This window comes from Homo sapiens, chromosome 21, assembly GCF_000001405.40.
Source record: "Homo sapiens chromosome 21, GRCh38.p14 Primary Assembly".
Classification (NCBI taxonomy): Eukaryota; Metazoa; Chordata; class Mammalia; order Primates; family Hominidae; genus Homo; species Homo sapiens.
In genome coordinates, this window is record NC_000021.9 from 34,173,423 (window position 1) to 34,190,583 (window position 17,161).

At 42.1% G+C, this 17,161-nt stretch overlaps 1 long non-coding RNA gene across 2 annotated transcripts, besides 1 other annotated feature; it reads left to right on the top strand.

Annotated features, from left to right (window-relative positions):
* Nucleotides 5,775-6,652: an enhancer, noted in NCBI's record as "NANOG hESC enhancer chr21:35551498-35552375 (GRCh37/hg19 assembly coordinates)". NCBI's record gives its function as "activates a minimal SCP1, AML or CMV promoter by ChIP-STARR-seq in naive H9 embryonic stem cells {active_cell/tissue: H9 hESC(naive)}" and the evidence as "EXISTENCE:reporter gene assay evidence [ECO:0000049][PMID:30033119]".
* On the top strand, nt 7,255-16,497 carry LINC00310 (long intergenic non-protein coding RNA 310). 2 transcript variants are annotated; one of them, NR_027266.1, is made up of 2 exons: nt 7,255-7,371; nt 15,346-16,497. It is a non-coding gene; the product is annotated as a long intergenic non-protein coding RNA 310 (long non-coding RNA). The 2 variants fall into 2 exon arrangements; NR_027267.1 differs by lacking the exon at nt 15,346-16,497 and adding an exon at nt 9,286-9,823.
* Nucleotides 16,498-17,161: the final 664 nt, after the last annotated feature.

The following is a 17,161-nucleotide window of genomic DNA, read 5'->3' on the forward strand; positions in this document are numbered from 1 at the left end:
AAAAAAATTCAAAGAAATAATGGCTGAGGCCAGGCATGGTGGTTCACACCTGTAATCCCAGCACTTTGGGAAGCTGAGGTGGGTGGATCACCTGAGGTCAGGAGTTCAAGACCAGCCTGGCCAACATGGCAAAACCCCGTCTCTACTAAAAAATACAAAAATTAGCCAGGCATCATGGCGGGCGCCTGTAATCCCAGCTACTCAGGACGCTGAGGCAGGGAGAATTGCTTGGATCTGGGAGGCAGTGGTTACAGTGGGCAAAGATCGCGCCATTACACTCCAGCCTGGGCAACACAGTGAGACTCCATCTCAAAAACAACAACAACAACAACAACAACAACAACAACAACAACACGGCTGAAAGTTTCTCAAATTTGGAGAAAAACAGAAACTTACAGAGTCAAGAATCCCAGGAAATCTCAAATAGAATAAACCCAAAGAAATCCATGCCCAAACACATTCTTATTAACTGCTGCAAACTAAAGAAAACATATTTCCAGAAGCCAGAGAAAAACAGCACATTACTTATAGGGCAACATAATTCAAATAGCAACAGATTTTACAGAAGGAAATAGAACATTTTTTAAGTGCTAGAAGAAAAGAACTGTCAAACTACAATTCTATATTCAGTAAAAATATCCTTCAGGAATGAAGATAAAATAAAGACATTCCCAGGTGAAGAAAAATGAAGACTTCGTTGTCACCACACTATTGTTACAGGAAGTTCTTCAGGCAGATGGGAAATGACACCAGAAGAAGATATGAAGAGCAACAAAAATGACAGATAACTGGGCAAACATAATAGACTGTTCTTCTTCTCTTGAGTTCTTTAAAATATATTTGATGGTAGAAAGCAAAAATTATAACATCGTCTAGTGGGGTTTTCAATGTATGTTGATATAACAAATAAGACAACCACAACATAAAGGAGGATGGGTAAAGAAACCCATATATGGTGGTAATATATCACTTGAAGTGGTAAAATATACACTGACTGTAAAAAGTTAAGAATATATATTTTAATCCCTAGAGCAACTACTTAGAAATTACACAAAGGGATAGTCAACAAAAATGCAATAGGTAAAATAGATAACTAACAAATGTTTAACCAAAAAGAAAGCAAACAAAGGGAAAACATAGAAACTGAAAATACAGAGACAAACAGTAAACAAACAATAAAATGATAGGCTTAAATAAAAACATCAGTAATTACATTAAATGTAAATGGATCAAACATACTAATTAAAAGATAGATTTTTAGAATGGATTTCAAAAAATGACTCAATTATATACTGTCTATAAGTATATAATTAATACAAGTGTTTCAGTTGTACTCACTTCAAGTATAATGACATAAGTGGGCTAAAAGTAAAGCAATATATATTCAAAAGATGTATATTATTAATGAGAATGAAGGTAGAGTGTCTATAGTAATATCAGACAAAGTGGACTTCAGAGCAAAGAAAATTACCAGGGATAAAAAGGGGCAATACCTAATACATTTCATCAAGAGGACACAACAATCCTAAATCTGTATGTATCAAACAGCAAAGCTTGAAGGTACATGAAGGAAAAACTCACAGAACTGAGATAAGAAATACACAAATTCATAATTATAGTTGGAAACTTCAACATTCCTCTCTCAGTGATCAATGGAACTTAGTAAACAGAAAGTCAGCAAGTGTATAGTATAGAAAATGGAACTAAATGATAAACAATTGTTTCTAACTGACATAGAATACTCCACTCAGTAACAGCAGAATACACATTTTTCTCAATTTCACATGGAACTTTCACCAAGATAGACCATATCTGGGGATATAAAACAAATTTGTCACACATTTAAAGAATCAAAATCATACAAAGTATGAAAAACAGAATGATAAGAAAATTTACAAACCCTTAGAAATTAAACAACACACTTGTACATAATCTGTAGGTCAAAGAGGAAGTCTCAGGGAAGTTAGAAAATATTTTGAACTGAATGAATATAAAAATATATCAAAATTTGTGGGATGCAGTTAAAGCAGTGGTTAGATGGAAATTTCATCATTACGATGAATTTGTATTAGAAAAGAGAAGAGTATCAAACCAGTAATCTAAGCTGCTTCCACAAGAAATTAGAAAAAGAAGAGCAAAATAAACTCAAAATAAGCAAAGGAAGGAAGTAATAAAAATAAGTACATAAATTTAAAAAATGAAAACAATTTCAAAAACAATACAGAAAAATAATGAGGAGTTCAATAAACCTCTGGTGAGACTGGCAGAGGGAAAGATAGAACATGAATTACTGATATCAGGAATGAAAAAAGGGTTATCACTACACACCCTGCTCATAAATTTGACCATTTAGATAAAACGGATGAATTCTGCAAAAGACACAAATTACCAAAATTCACCCAAGATGACATGTAGATAACTTGAATAGCACTATTAGTATTTTAAAAATTGAGCTTGTATTTTAAAACCTTCTATAAAAGGATTCTTCAGGCCAAGATTCTAGCACACACCATATAGCATATGCTACCAAATATTTAAACAAGAAATATGATAAATTCTACCAAATATTTTCTAGACATAAAATGAACTGTACACAATCTCTTCCAGAAAATAGAAGAGGAGGGAGCACTTCTCAACTCATTTTATAAGGCCAACATTACCCTGGTACTGGAACCAGACAGATGGTACAAAAAGTACAAAACACTATCCCTCATGAACATATATGCAAAAATTCTCAACAAAATATTAGCAAATATCCATTAATACATAAGTATACAAAGAGATAGTCAATAATATTGACTATTAGGGAAATGCCAGCTAAAACTCTGATGAGATATAACCTATGGAGTGAGACACACCTATTGAATGGCAAAAATAAAAAATACTGACAATACTAAGTGCTCACAATCATGCAAAGCAACTGGATCTCTCATACACTGCCAATGGGAATGCAAAATTGCACAGCTACTCTAGGATCGTCCTGCTTCAGCCTTCTGAGTAGCTAGGACTACAGGTGGGCACCACCATGCTTGGCTAATTTTTAGTATTTTTTGGAGAGACAGGGTCCAGGTTGCCTGGGCTGGTCTTGAACTCCTGGCCTCAAGCTGTCCTCCTGCCTCAGTCTTCCAAAGTGCTGGGATTACAGGTGTGAGCTATTGTGGCTGGCCCTACTTTGCAGTTTCTTATAAAGCTACACACACAATTGACATATGACTCAGCAATCCCAAGTGAACTGAAAACTTGTATTCATGCAAAGACCTATGCATGAATGTTTATAGCAGCTGTATTCATTATCACTAATAAGAGAAAACAACCCAATGTCTTTCAGTGGGTCAATGGGTAAATAAACTGTGGTGCGTTTCTACAATGGAATACTACTCAATTTAGCAATAAAAAGGAATGAACTATTGACACACCCAACAACTTGGATGAATCTCAAAGACATTATGCTGAGTAAAAGGAGCCAATCTCAAAAGTTCTACATACTGAATGATATACTTTACTCTCAAAAAGGTGAAACACGTGACAGAGAAGAAATCAATGATTTCTAGGAGTGAGAGTTTAGTGAAGACAATGCTGTAATTTCTTCCCATCTAAATTCCTTAGACCTCTGCGTTCTAATTATGAACCACTTGGAGGGAGGGTCTATGTGTCCCAAGTAAAAAGCCTGCTCTATGCTATATGCCTTGTAGGAATTGTATCTTTTTTGTTCATTCTTCTATGTCCCATGCCTAGCAGAGTAAACTGGCATAGATTGGGCACTCAGTTATTCGGTGAACAAAATAAATGAATGAACAAACTATGAAATGGTTTCAACATCCAACAATGCATTGAGAGCCTCTAAAAACTTTAAGAAAAATGGACACATTTTGTTTAACCGAACACGTGATCATTGTTGATAATTGTGGGCTGCACTCTCTCTAATGACTCTCCTAACTGTACGCTTCTGTTTGGGCTACTGACCAGGTTTTGTCTTGTGTGAGTCTACCTGCACCATTTCTGAGCATTTCTCCTGCTTCTGTCCTGTAGAAGCAAAACAATTAGATACACGAATCCCTTCTCCAGAATTATGCAGCTACTGTCAACCAAAAATGGTGGATAACTGCCAATGACGTACATGTTGGAATTAGTGTTTGAGATTTATCAGACACTAACATATGACAGGACTTGGGCGGTGCTGAGATAATAATGAGGCCTTGCAAATGGGCATCACTCAGCATTGCAGGGAGTCCAGGGTGAGGGGCAGGACTGGACTAGCTCAACAGAGTACTTGGCATGAGGGGGCAACATGGGAAATGTATAGGGACTCGAAAACTATAGTTGGTATTAGAGCCAGAGGCCCTTTGTCTCATCCCTCACCAGGAGTAGGGGCCCTTAGAGTACTGTCACCAGAAGGTTCTGGGAAAGTTGTAGAGACCGAATGAGTTGCTACACTACTGACCCTGCCATGTGCCAGCAATCTCCTTGATGGTCTCTGGGCAGTCTGTTTCACAGACCTGAAAAAAAGATTGAGAAAGCCTATGATATCTTATTTCATCAAGTCCGGTCTACAATGGCTTGATAGTAAGACCAGCCATTATTTTATATACCAATAGGAGAGGAAAAACACTGCCAACACACTGTGACAGATGCCTTTAATGACAGTCCTGAATGACATATGAATCAATGACATCAGATTCCTTTTAAGTTAATCTTCATCTCTTCTAGAGATTTGGCAATGAAACAAGTAACTCGGCAATAGAAAGTAACACAGCTTGTCCGACTGGTGGGTATCTTCCTTTGCGAGGTTTCTGGTGCACTTGATTGTTTCTTTGCAAGAAAATATGGACTCCTGATCATTCTTTCTGTGATAAATGTCGTTCACTAATACCACCTTTGCATCCTACTGCTTGGTTTCTGTACCTTTCTGACTACAAAATAGCTTGTTATTTCAGTGCTGAATCGTAGTGAAATTTCTTTGGGGAGATTCCTACACAGTAGTTAAACTCTGAGGTTAAGCTAACAAATGCACAGATCTCAATCAAAGTGATAACAATGTGAACAGCTACAGCTGGGTGGATGCACATGGCCGATGGCTTTTGAAAGATACTCCTGATTAAGATGTATCTGGATCTCAGCAATGTTAGCCTGTGAAAAACTGTGCCTCTTAAAATCTGTGGAATACAGTAATTCTGTCCAATTCAGTAATTTGGGAGGGAGAGTTCTTCTGCACTTATGACATGTTTCGTGAACATCCTTTGTCTGCTGGGGAATGTTCTAGGGCTTCAGTGGGAAACAGGCTGACTCCCCTGCCCACATGGAGCTCACACTGAGTAAGGAGAACAGACAATAAGGGAATAAACAGAACAATGTTCATGTTATTTTAAGTGCAAGGAAGGAAATAAACAGGAGGCTGAGATGGAGCCTCACAGTGGGACGGGTACAGGATGTACATGAGCATTTGTGATGAGCCTTCTGATTTCCAACTAAGTCAACACTTGGATTTTTGTCTCTAAGAGTCACTGGCAGCCTGCAGGGCGATCACCTGTCCCTAGGTTTGCCCAGAACTGAGGGGTTTCACGGGATATGAGCCTTGAACTCCTATAATGGGCAGACCCAAGCATACTAGTACAGTTCGTCCCCCTATGGAGATTCTAACTCAAGTTTCCTTGTAGTTTAATATTTTTATTACTATTTCCATGTCTAATGAAGTTTGATACTTAACCATCCACTGTGGCTTTTATTATCTTTCACTCCCATCTCTCTTATTTTCATAAAAAGAGATTAATTCTATAGTACAACTAAAGTCTTATAATTCTTAAATGCAGTCACTCAACACCACCAGTTAAACACCTACTTAAAGTCCTTCGGGGCCTCAATGATAGGTCAGGGTATCTCTCAGGGGTAAGAAATGTCTATCGACAGCTAGAAGATCAGGTAGTGGCACAACCAAGCGTCCACCAAAGCCTCCAGCTGGGAGAAGGTGGGTGGTTGCTAAGCAGGGATGAGGGCAGGGCGAGCTGCTTTGTTTTTCTAATTTTATTTTGTTTTGGATGAACAATTCCAACCAAAGGCTTTGAAGAAGAGCAATTTTCTTTGCCTTTGAAATGAGTTAAAGGCAAAACAACTCCATCCTTTCATGTTAGGAATCATTTTGGTAAAGTAGTGCGGCTTTCTGTTTTTTTTTTTAACTAAAAGACAAGCTGAACTCTGGATTGCAAATGCTTTCATGGCTATTAGAAGTATAGTTTGTTTGTTTTTTCTCTTTAAAACAATGAAATGCAAATTCTTGGCTTTCTCTTCAAGCAAGGAGCGGCGAGGGGAAGCCACTCTGGAGGCTGGATGCAGATGTGTTGTTGTCAGTGACACTACAATACTTACTAGTTTTTGCAAAGTCCCAGTGAACTTCATGTTCGTTCCCTGCCTTTTTAGTCTCAAGGTTGATGTGTAACAATGCCTGTGCCCACTGTAATATTCCAAAACTACCATGTCCTTTCCATTCTTTCCCCCGACCCCATTGTGTTTCATTTTCTTTTTCTTTTTTTAAAATTTAATTTAACTGAATTTTAAGTACAGGGCTTGCAGATTTGTTACATAGGTAAATGTGTGTCATGGTGGTTTATTGCACCTATCAACCCATCACCTAAGTATTAAGCCCCACATGCATTAGCTATTTATCCTAATGCTCTCCCTCCCCCCACCCCGCTGTGTTTCATTTTCCTCTCATATCTCGTGACCACATAATTCCTTCTTTAATGACAAATTGTATTGAATGAGGTGGCCAGTCTTAGAAGTGCTGTAATCTGAAAGAAAAAAATGAAACTTTCCACTTCATCACTCTGGTATATTATTATTTTTAAAAAGATGCAAGTTGTCATATGAAAATGGAGGCATTAATTCCTTAACCTATTCCAAAACTTTAGCTCATATTTGCCAAGAAAACAGAATGCGAATGGGAAGCCGTGTTTCTGCTTGAGGCAGTAGGAAGCAGGAGACCAAAAAGTCGTCTTAATGTTAAGCAAAACTTTGAATCAGCATTTAAATTAGATATGCTTTAACGGCTAATGTTATTTGAAAGCTGAATAGCCAATGTCAAAAATAGATTTCCCTTTCTTTCCAAAGTGCAGACGGGGTCCAGAAAGGGGCAAAAATAACCACATGCCTTTCTTGGACTCCTGACTCTTACCACCCAAAGGGTTTTCTTGTGTAGCAACCAACAATTCCTTGGATGGAAACACTGGATAGGCTAGTCATTATTTTGAGATTGAAGGGACTGCAGATTCTTGGCAGACCTCTGTTGTTTTTCTAGAGTTGTAGGCAAGTAGTTGGACAAAAAGCAAGAAGCTGATCGATGTTGCTGGCTTTGGATTCTTTGTGAACAAATGAGACAAGGTGAGTAGCTGCCCTGCTCAACTCCCTCTTCGTTTTGGTGTGGGGCGGGGGTGGGGGTGGGGAGGGAAAGGTTCTGATGACTGCAATCCTGGTGTCGGATCTTGGTCTGTTGGAAAACAACGGGCTCGCCGGCCCCTGTAGGAAGACCTAGGCAATGTCTGCATGCTGCCTGTGCAGCCCATGGAGGGGTTAGAAATAGTAGGATTGCTTGTAGAGAGAGAACAATCACTCAATTGTCAGATTTTTTTTTTTCACTTTTCATCCACACGCTGGGTGGCTTTGTAGCACAGTCGGAGATACTGTGTTGAGGAGCCTTTGCTCATGGCAATGTTTCCTCTGTTCACTTTCTGCTGCTTCTGCATTGGAAAATTCCGTCCTTTAACACTGGGATTATATGTCACCGTTGCTGAAATCATAGACAGAGTCCACTTAATTTGGTGCGAGCATGAGAAATAGCCAGAGAATGGGAGAAGCATAGCATTCCCTTGTATAAAGAGAGGATTGAATAAGGTCAGTGAACCAGAGACAGCAGGTCACAAACCCTCAGAGGGTCATGAAAATGTTCCCTGGTTTCCTGCCTTTGGGAGCAAAACGGATGCCTGTTTAAATTTTTTAAAAAATTATTGAAGATTAGCCATGATACTTGTTTGAGCTGGGTGAGATATTTGAGGGCTCATTATACTAGTTTCTGTACTTTTGCACATTTTTGAAAATTTCAAATGATAAAACATTTTTTACGAAATATTTAAATACCTCCCTGCTTCATCTCAGAACGATTCCAGAGCCCCTGAGTGGGTCCCATGTACGCATGCGTGGCAGTAGGGGCTGCTCAACTGAGCATGCTCGTGATTTGGCCTCAGTCAATTTCACTGTGTGCTGAGCCCCCAACGATGCTAACCCCTGTGCGGTTTCAAATGGCCTTTATTCTTAGCCATATGTTCTTTGGCCCATATCCTAAATGGATCATTTGTTAAAGGCTAGAAACATTAGCAACACAGATGTTGAAATTCATGTTAATAATTCAGTAAATTGCCTCATGATAATCTTCACTTTATCTGAAGATGGCCTTTGTCTCGTCAAAGTCTGCCCCTGGACCTCAGAAACCCAGTGTTACAGAAAGAAAAGACAGGGACAGTTATGTCTAATTTTGGTTTTCATTTATAGAGAACAAATGGTTGTAAAGAAGTGATTACAAATAGCAGCTAGCTGATATTTTAAGCACAAAATATAAGAATTTCAGACATGAGGTCATGAAAGCAATTTTTGATGCCCCAATTCCTGGTTAATTTCAATTTTTATTTTAATCTGAGCACCCAACAGCTGACACAAAATAACTCTTTTATTGACTTCCTCCTTGTATCTGGTGGCCCTGAAATGGTTATCATAAAATTTATTGTGTAGTCACTGTTTCCTAGCTCTTGTGGACACAGAAATGGTAGAAGTTTCTAGAAATGAGGCATGTAGGTACATTGTAAGGTTTATGGGTTTTAGCCACACACTCTTGAAACTTGGTGTTAATCTTCACATTTGATTAAAATTTTAAATATATTGATATTAAAGATTGTAGCTAACATGAAATTTATGTTGACGAAATAGAAAATATTTTGACTATCAGTTTCTACTTTTGCATACACACTATAGTAGATATCTTCTGTGTGTATCTCTCACCTTCTGACCCATCTTCCACACCAGCCATTGCTGGAGCAGCCAGCTTTGCGCAGGTGTAACCAGAAGGTGCCTTGTTTCAGCTGCACTGCGTCTCTCCATTTCTGCCCTGGGCCTCTCTGACACAGTGTCCTGGTATTGAGGCTTGTGCAACCTGGAAGTGTAAGGGAGTCAACATTCTATGAGGAAATTCTTGGCCAAAAGGGGGTGGGAGTCTATAAATTAGTACTCCCTTTTTTCTTCCCCTAGGCTGCAAATTCAGAGGATCCTCCCAGAAGATAAGATGGAGCAGGTCACCACCTTCTTCCCTGCTTCACACCCTCAGGCCCCGACTCTTGTCTGCTGAGATCACTCTCCAAACCAATCTTCCCTTACAAAGCCCTTGTTGCAGGCTATGCTTTCTGAGGGGAACCCAGGCCAAGACACTAAAATGACACACCAACATGAAGACATGAACACAATTGCAAAGGGATTGGTTGGATTGCATATCTCTGTGAATGGGACTCAAGAGAAGTTTGGGAAATGCTGGACCAGATGACCCTTGCAATCATGGTGCACAGAATTAAAACCGTCAAGTTCCCCATCCATCTCTGAGATGGATGAGAATCTGAGTCTTCCACAAGATGCCCAAGACTTGTTAAACCCGTGGAATGTCTTTGGGTATGTGTGACATCAACAAGAAGCAGCAGACAAAACAAAATATTTTCACAAACATTCAGAAATCCCTAAATCTTGTGAGTTGTCGTATCATTTGTAGATATAATTATAAAATGGCACATGATGCTGACCTATTCCAAGGCAATTGTTCATCTCATGGTAGGGTGTAATCTCTGCCTGCAGATTAAGGCAGAAGAGACCAAGGAGGGCTGTTTACTCCTTCATGATCCATCCCAGGGGAGGGTGGGTTTTGGACCAGTTAGGTTATGTGGCTGGCTGCTGAGGATTCTGAACATCTAGTTACCTCCCTGTACCTCTGTCCCATATACTCTAGGCCAGTGGCTCTTCCCTGGATTGGGCCATCTTTTTCTGAAGGCAAATTTTCCACTAGGAGGAAGGTTAGAAATGCCAGTTCTTGAGTTGCACCCCAGATCTTTGGCAGTCTGTTGCGATAGATCTTCCAGGCGACTCTGATGCTGGCTGAAGTTTGAGAACCATTGCCCTTGGCCTGTTCCTGCTCATCCTGGCTTGCAGGCTTTGGAGGCCTTCGCTGTTGATTGATTTACACTCCTCTCCACAGAATGGGCTCAGGAAACAAAAGATTACTTGATTAGCTGGGAGGTGAGAGAAAAGGGGCTGGAACTGTGTAGGCAGCCACGCAGCTTACAAATAGATTATGTTCTGGACTTTGGAAGTCAGCTGTTTGGAATAGAAGCTGTTTTCCTAGGAATGGTAGATAGCTTTTTATGCCAGCACATAAAGGCATATTTAATTCCAAACTTGGCTGAAATACTGCTGCGTCACAATGAAAATGAGCAGATCCCAGTGCTCCTGGAGTATTAGTACCTAATCAAAGCAGAACAGAACAAGAAATGAAACACGGAGATGGTATTTTATGTATGTTAATATTGCTGATCAAAGAAAAAGGTTGATTTGGAGACGAATTAAGAGGTAAATTGGGATATGTCAAGATTCATAAGGAGTTTCTGGCCTTTCTCTAGAATATGATGATACTCATTCATTTAGGCAGACTTTCCTTAACTGTGGTTCTGGATTGTTACCTTTCTTTTTTCTGAAGGCAAATGTCCCACTAGGAGGGAGGTAAAGAATTCTGAGACCAACTGGCATGGGTTGAAAAGGAGAACAGAAAGAGTAATGGAATCAGAGAGAATGCAGGTGTATTTATTAATTAATACGAGCCTCAACGGAGACAAAACTAACATGAGTTGTGAGCAATGAGAGGTGGATGGGCATAGACCGAGGTCAGGATTCTCCTCTGTACTTGGCAAGACAGGAAAGACAGCAGACCTATGTGGAGCACGTGAGCTGGGAGCTGCTGTTCTGGAAACCTTCCCTCCCACTGTATTTGCCTGCCCTTGTCCCTTACACAGTTCCATTTCATGTCACCCGACTTCTTTCCTTTCCCTGGTTACTGATAGGGCAAAAGAAGATGAGCTGGACCAACTCCCTTTTTCTTCCTAGAGATTTGAACTAAGAAACAACCAGATACATTTCAGTCCGTGATGGGAAGAGGTTTGCGGCTGGCTGTGAGCACTTCACACATTCACAAATCACGCACTTCTAGTTGGCTTTCTTGTGATGGCGAAAATACTTTCTTTTTGGTTTCATGATGCATTTATTAACCATTCTATTTTTGTATCATACAAATGATCAGAGCTGACAGTTGAATGGCTGGGTTGGGAGAAGTGTGGTAGCCCTAATGGAATTAATTAATTGAATAATATTGCCTGACAAATGGCTCCATTATACCAAAGAGGGCTTGAGACTTAATTACTGATGTCATTTATCTCTCTATTTGCACCCCAATAATAAGTGACTCATTTCTCATTAATATTGGGTCATCTTCCAAAAGGAAGAAAAGAGGCCAAAATATCAGGCGGGTGGGTGGGGGGTGAAGCAATGTCTTTGTTCCCTATCTCATTATTTTGATAAATCATAACAGACTCCCGTTAATTAGGTGGGCAGGCTTAACTGGCTGACTCCTGTCCAACAATTACCTCAGAAAGGAGCACCACTGGGAACACGTCCTTCCCTTGGGACGACATGAAAGGAAGTCTCTAACAAAAAAGGGGATCGTTCCCTTGGCCACGCTGGGGGCATCACAGTTGTCAAGACACATTTCTAGACGTAAGGGCTGGAGCTGTCTCGGGGACATCGCCTGTGCATGACGGTGATGTCTGTGGGCCTGATGCTGCCTTCCTAATCCAGGGTTGAGCTAATGGTTCTCAGTGCCTTTGAGTCCCCCTGGGAAATGAGAACCTAATTAAGCAGGGGAACAGGTGTAAAGAGAACCTGATTTGATCTGGCCACATTAATTGCTGAGATTGGGCTTGCATTTAGCTGGAAACAGTGAATTAACTACAGCCGGAATACAGCTAATCCCTTGGTTTCGCTGCGACTGTGTATAAAACACACTGGACCTGCTGGGGAACACAAACAAAGAGGGATTTGCAGTGAAGGTAAAACCGCATCCTTGCATGGGAAGGGCTGAGAAACGAGCTTAGCCACAGAGGGTGGCCATGTGGCCCAGACTGGGCGGCTCATTTTCCCTACAAAATTACCAATAGCACTCTCTTTTATTCTCAAAAAATGTTCCAGTTTGGGCAATAAATTAAATGGTTACTTTATTTCAATGAGAATTTTAAGTTGGTTTAAAATATTTTTTTCTTTACCGGAGGAGTGGTATTATAGGTTGAGGAGTTACCGGTTGAATTTTGTCCCCCTCAACAAAGATGTTGAAGTCCTGACCCCCAGTATCTGTGAACGTGACCTTATTTGGAATTGGGGTCTTTGCAGATGATCCAGTTAAGGTGAGGCCATTAAGGGTGAGCCCTCATCCAGGATGACTGGTGGCTTTTAAAAGGGGGGAATTTTGGACACAGTCACAGGGAGGGCACCATATGAAGGTGAAGGCAGAGTCTGCGGCAATGTTTCTATAAGCCAAGGAACCTGAGGATTGCCAGTGACCCCCAGAAGTTAAGGGAGGGGCCTGGAACAGATTCTCCCCCAGAGCCCTCAGAACAAACCCTGCCAACACCTTGATCTCAGACTTCTGGCCTCCAGAACTGTTCAGCAATAAACGTCTGTTGTTTAAGCCACCCTGCCTTTGGCACTTTGTCACGGCGGCCCCAGCAGACTAACTCACGTGGGCACTAGTCTCGAAGCATCTGATAAGGCTCTAATGACTCATGGTTTGTACGGTTCACAGAACTGAGCCGTCTTGATGGCGAAGGCTGGTCGCAGGGTTAGGGAGCAGAGCTGATTAGAGGACCAGTACCAATTTCCCACCTCCTCGGTGCCAAGCTCTGGGAAGAGGGTGACAGAGATGGCCCTGGTTCCTGGCCTCAAGGGGCCAGCAGTCCGGTGGGCAGGCAGCCTGTGCAGGTGACCTTGTACTTCATTAGCTAAACACGAGTATGTATCTATGTACACACACCTGGAAGGGAGGGAAGCTCAATATAGGTGGGGGGCAGGCCTCCCAAGCTGGGCTGAAAAGCATCAGCCTTCCCAGGATGGGACATCTCAGCTGAGACCTGAGAAGAAAGGGCTACCTGGATTTTATTTTATTTTGTTTTCTTATTTTTGAGACAGGATCTCATTCTGTTGCCCAGAGGCTAGAGTACAATGATGCAGTCACGACTCACTGTAGCCTTGACCTCCGTAGGCTCAAGCGATCCTCCTGTCTCAGCCTCCCAGGTAGCTGGAACCACAGGCACACACCACTGTGCCCAGCTAATTTTTGTATTTTTTGTAGAGACGGGGTTTCGCCATGTTGCCCAGGCTGGTCTCAAACTCCTGGGCTCAAGGGATCCACCCACCTCAGCCTCCCAAAAGTGCTGAGATTATAGGTGCAAGGCACAACGCTGGGCTGCTACCTGGATTTTAAAAAGGCAGGAGAAACGGAGAACAAATGTGAAGTTCTGAGGACCAGGAGGGCTGGAGCTTGAAAATTCCAACCCGGGAGCGGAGAGACTGGAGAAGGTTGTTTTCCAATTCGTTTTCTCAGCCTTCATTGCTCGTTTATCGAGCGTGTAGAGCACACTGCCATGCACCAGGACAAAGCCACCGCTTCTGTTGGGAGAACTCACTCACGGCAGGAGAGGAGGCCCCTTGAAGTGAATGGAAAAGCCTTAAATGGGAGAGGGATAGGAGGAATGGACAATGTTCACTCCTGGGTCAGAAGACAGGAGCTCTTTGGTCCCTGACCTCTCTGGTCAATTGTTTGCATGTGGCTAGGCGTGGAGAGGTCATAGGTCACATCCAAAAGTGCTAAATTATTTCTAAGTGTATAATGAGATTCTCTGTCCCTGAAGCCGAATTTTGGTTGCAGCTTGTCAGAGTTTCATTCATAGATATGGCTGGTCAATTGAGAACATTCTAGAGAACACTTTTGTGATGGTTCCTTCCTCTTGAGGTTCTGAGCTCCATATCCTTCCACCTCAGACCCCACATCCAGGACCTACCATCTTGAATTTAAGTTTTTGCCCCTTGGCCCAGAGTCTAAGGAAATTATGAGATCCATAGACCCAATCCATACAGTGCTTTTGCTTTTGAATGCCAGCGTTGGCGTTTCTTGGGTGCTATTTTCAAGGCGGATTTCTAGGTTGGATGTTAAAGTCATCGTTTCTCTTCTCCAGTTGACTTCAATGACCTGTTGCCGGTGGGCCCGGGACAAAAAGTTTTGGGAAGGCAAAACTGGGGTCTGATTTGGTAGGCATGGCATGGATTATGTAAGTGTACAGGTCTGCATTTCAAAATGAAAAATAACAATAATAATTAGGGTTTCTCTGGGCTCCTCATGTCCAAGCCACTCTTGCAAAACCACCTTTGGATGAGCCTGAAGTGTCAGCAAATCAGAAACATGTGGATTTAATTTCCTTTGAAATACACCAGGGGGAGAGGGAGCTGTGGGACTTGGCAACCTGCTTCTTCGGGTTTGCCAAACCCCAAATATCTCACACTCTGTGAGAGCTCTACGCTGGCCCCCAGCAGTCTCGTCTGGCCAGCCCAGCCTCTGCATTTCTTGCTGTACCGTCTAGGTCTCCTCTAACCATGATTCCCTTCTCTGGGTCCATTTCAGCTGCCAGAGGGATGCTAACACCGCCCACGTGCTGCAGCAGGACTTTGGAAGGGGAACCAGCACTGTAATGAAGTGTTGGGTTGGCTCAAGTCTTGTCTGGACCACAAACCATTTTTCAACCACTAGTGTGCCTTTAAAACCCAAACCAACTGTGAGAGTGGTTTTCTACTTTGATTCTAGATGGGAAAATATTTTGCTTTTTTGGTGGATGACAGTGTCAGGTCCCAAATGGATTTGGTTTCATCCTCCAGCACGCATGCATATAACGTGAAACATGCCCACACTCTGCAAGGGCCACAGCCACCCCACCATTATGTTCCAAGGCAAATATGCGTCCGCGGGTCCCCGGGAAAGTAAAGGAGTTTCACATTGAGGAGCCGAGCCACACAGTCTAGCAGTTCTGATGTCTCTCCAAGGCCCACAGATCCTGGTCTACTAACTTAAGGGTAAGGTTGTATAAATAAGGTCCACATCACTTGCTGGTTCATTATTTTTCTTCGTTGATAGTAATGCCTCCTTTTTTCTTCCTTTGTATTTTCTGTGTCTTGCAGCCCCTTTTGTCTAAAATAGTGATGTACATTAAATGCAAAGGGCAAATGGAACCATTGAAAAGTACTTTTTGCATCCAAAACAGCCAACGCTTTGGTGCCTGCTATGTGTCAGACACTGATTCTTCTGTCATCCTTATTCTACTGATGAGGCAACTGAGGCAGCTTCAGAGAGTTCGAGTAACCTGCGGATCACACAACTAGGAAGTAAGAGAGCTGGAACTTGACGTTGGGCTGTTGACCTCCAGAAATGGTGTTTTTTCCAGTACTCAGTGCTGCCTCTGACTCCATTGTGATGGTTGATTTTATGTGTCAACTTGACTGGGCCCAGGGGTACCCAGATATTTGGTCAAACATTATTCTGGGTGTTTCTGTGAGGGCGTTTTGGGTGAGATTAACATTTAAATTGGTAGACTGAGTAAAGCAGATGGCCCTCTATGATATGGCCAGGCCTCATCCAATCCATTGAAAGCCTGAATGGAACAAAAAGGCCAACCCTCCCTCAGTAGGAGGAAATTTCGTCTGCTTGACTGCATTCAAACTAGGACGTCAACTTTTTCCTGCCTTTGGACTTGAATAGAAACATCAGCTCTTCCTAGATCTTCAACCTGCCAGGCTTCAGATTGAAGTTTATACCATCAGCTCTCTTGGTTCTTGGGCCTTTGGACCCAGACTGTAAGTGCACCATCCGTTCTCTTGGGTCTTGCTTGCTGACTCACCCTGCAGATTTGGGGACTTATCAGCCTCTAATTCTGTGAGCCAATTCCTTCTAATATATCTCTCTATACGCATCCTGTCTCACTGGAAGAACCCTGATACGGTTAGGCTTTGTGTCCTCATTCAAATCTCATCTTGAATTGTAAATCCCATAATCCCCATAATCCCCATGTGTCAGGGGAGGGATCAGGTGGAGGTAATTGCATCATGGGAGCAGTTTCCCCTGTGCTCTTCTCACGATAGTGAAAGAGTTCTCACAAGATCTGATGGTTTTATAAGGGGCTCTTCCCCCTTTGCTCTGCACTTCCCCTTCCTGCTGCCTTGTGGCCTTGTGAAGAAGGTGTCTTGCTTCCCCTTTGCCCTCCTCCATGATTGTAAGTTTCCTGAGGCCTCCCCAGTCATGCAGAACTGTGAGTCAATTAAACCTCTGTCCTTTATAAATTACCCAGTCTCAGGCGGTTCTTTATACCAGTGTGAGAATGGACTAATACAAACCCTAATACATCAATTTCTTTTTTGATCTACCAGGCAATCCTGTGAAGTAGATGGGTCAGGTAATATCATTGCTATTTGACAGATGAGGGAGAACAAGACCTAGCAAATGAACACGCATGTGTTACATGCTCACATAGTCACACACATGCTCGCATGCGTGCGCGTGCACACACACACACACACACATATACATACAGACCACGCACTTCAGGACGAAGGTCAGAATCCAGGTCTAATCATTTAAGTAAGTGCTTCTTCCCCAGGGTGTCCACAGAGCAGCCAGCCATGGAGGGCAGTGCTAACTTACTTTTAAAATGTCCTTAATGTCCAGGATCACGATAGCAAGTCCCCCTTCATGCAGAAAAATCTGCCTCTGAGTATCTGGGTGTGCAGAGGAGCTACTACTATTATTCTGTTCCTCACATTCCATACTGTAAGTTCCAGCTACAGAGAATATTGTAGCAAAGTGCTAGCAAACCTAGCACGTTCCCACCTGGAGACAGCGAATCCAGAGAGTGGATCCTCGAGGATAAAATTATCCCCCAAACGATTGCATGTTGAGTGGGACAAGGATATCTGGCCAGTAGAATGTCTGTATAAGAGAAGG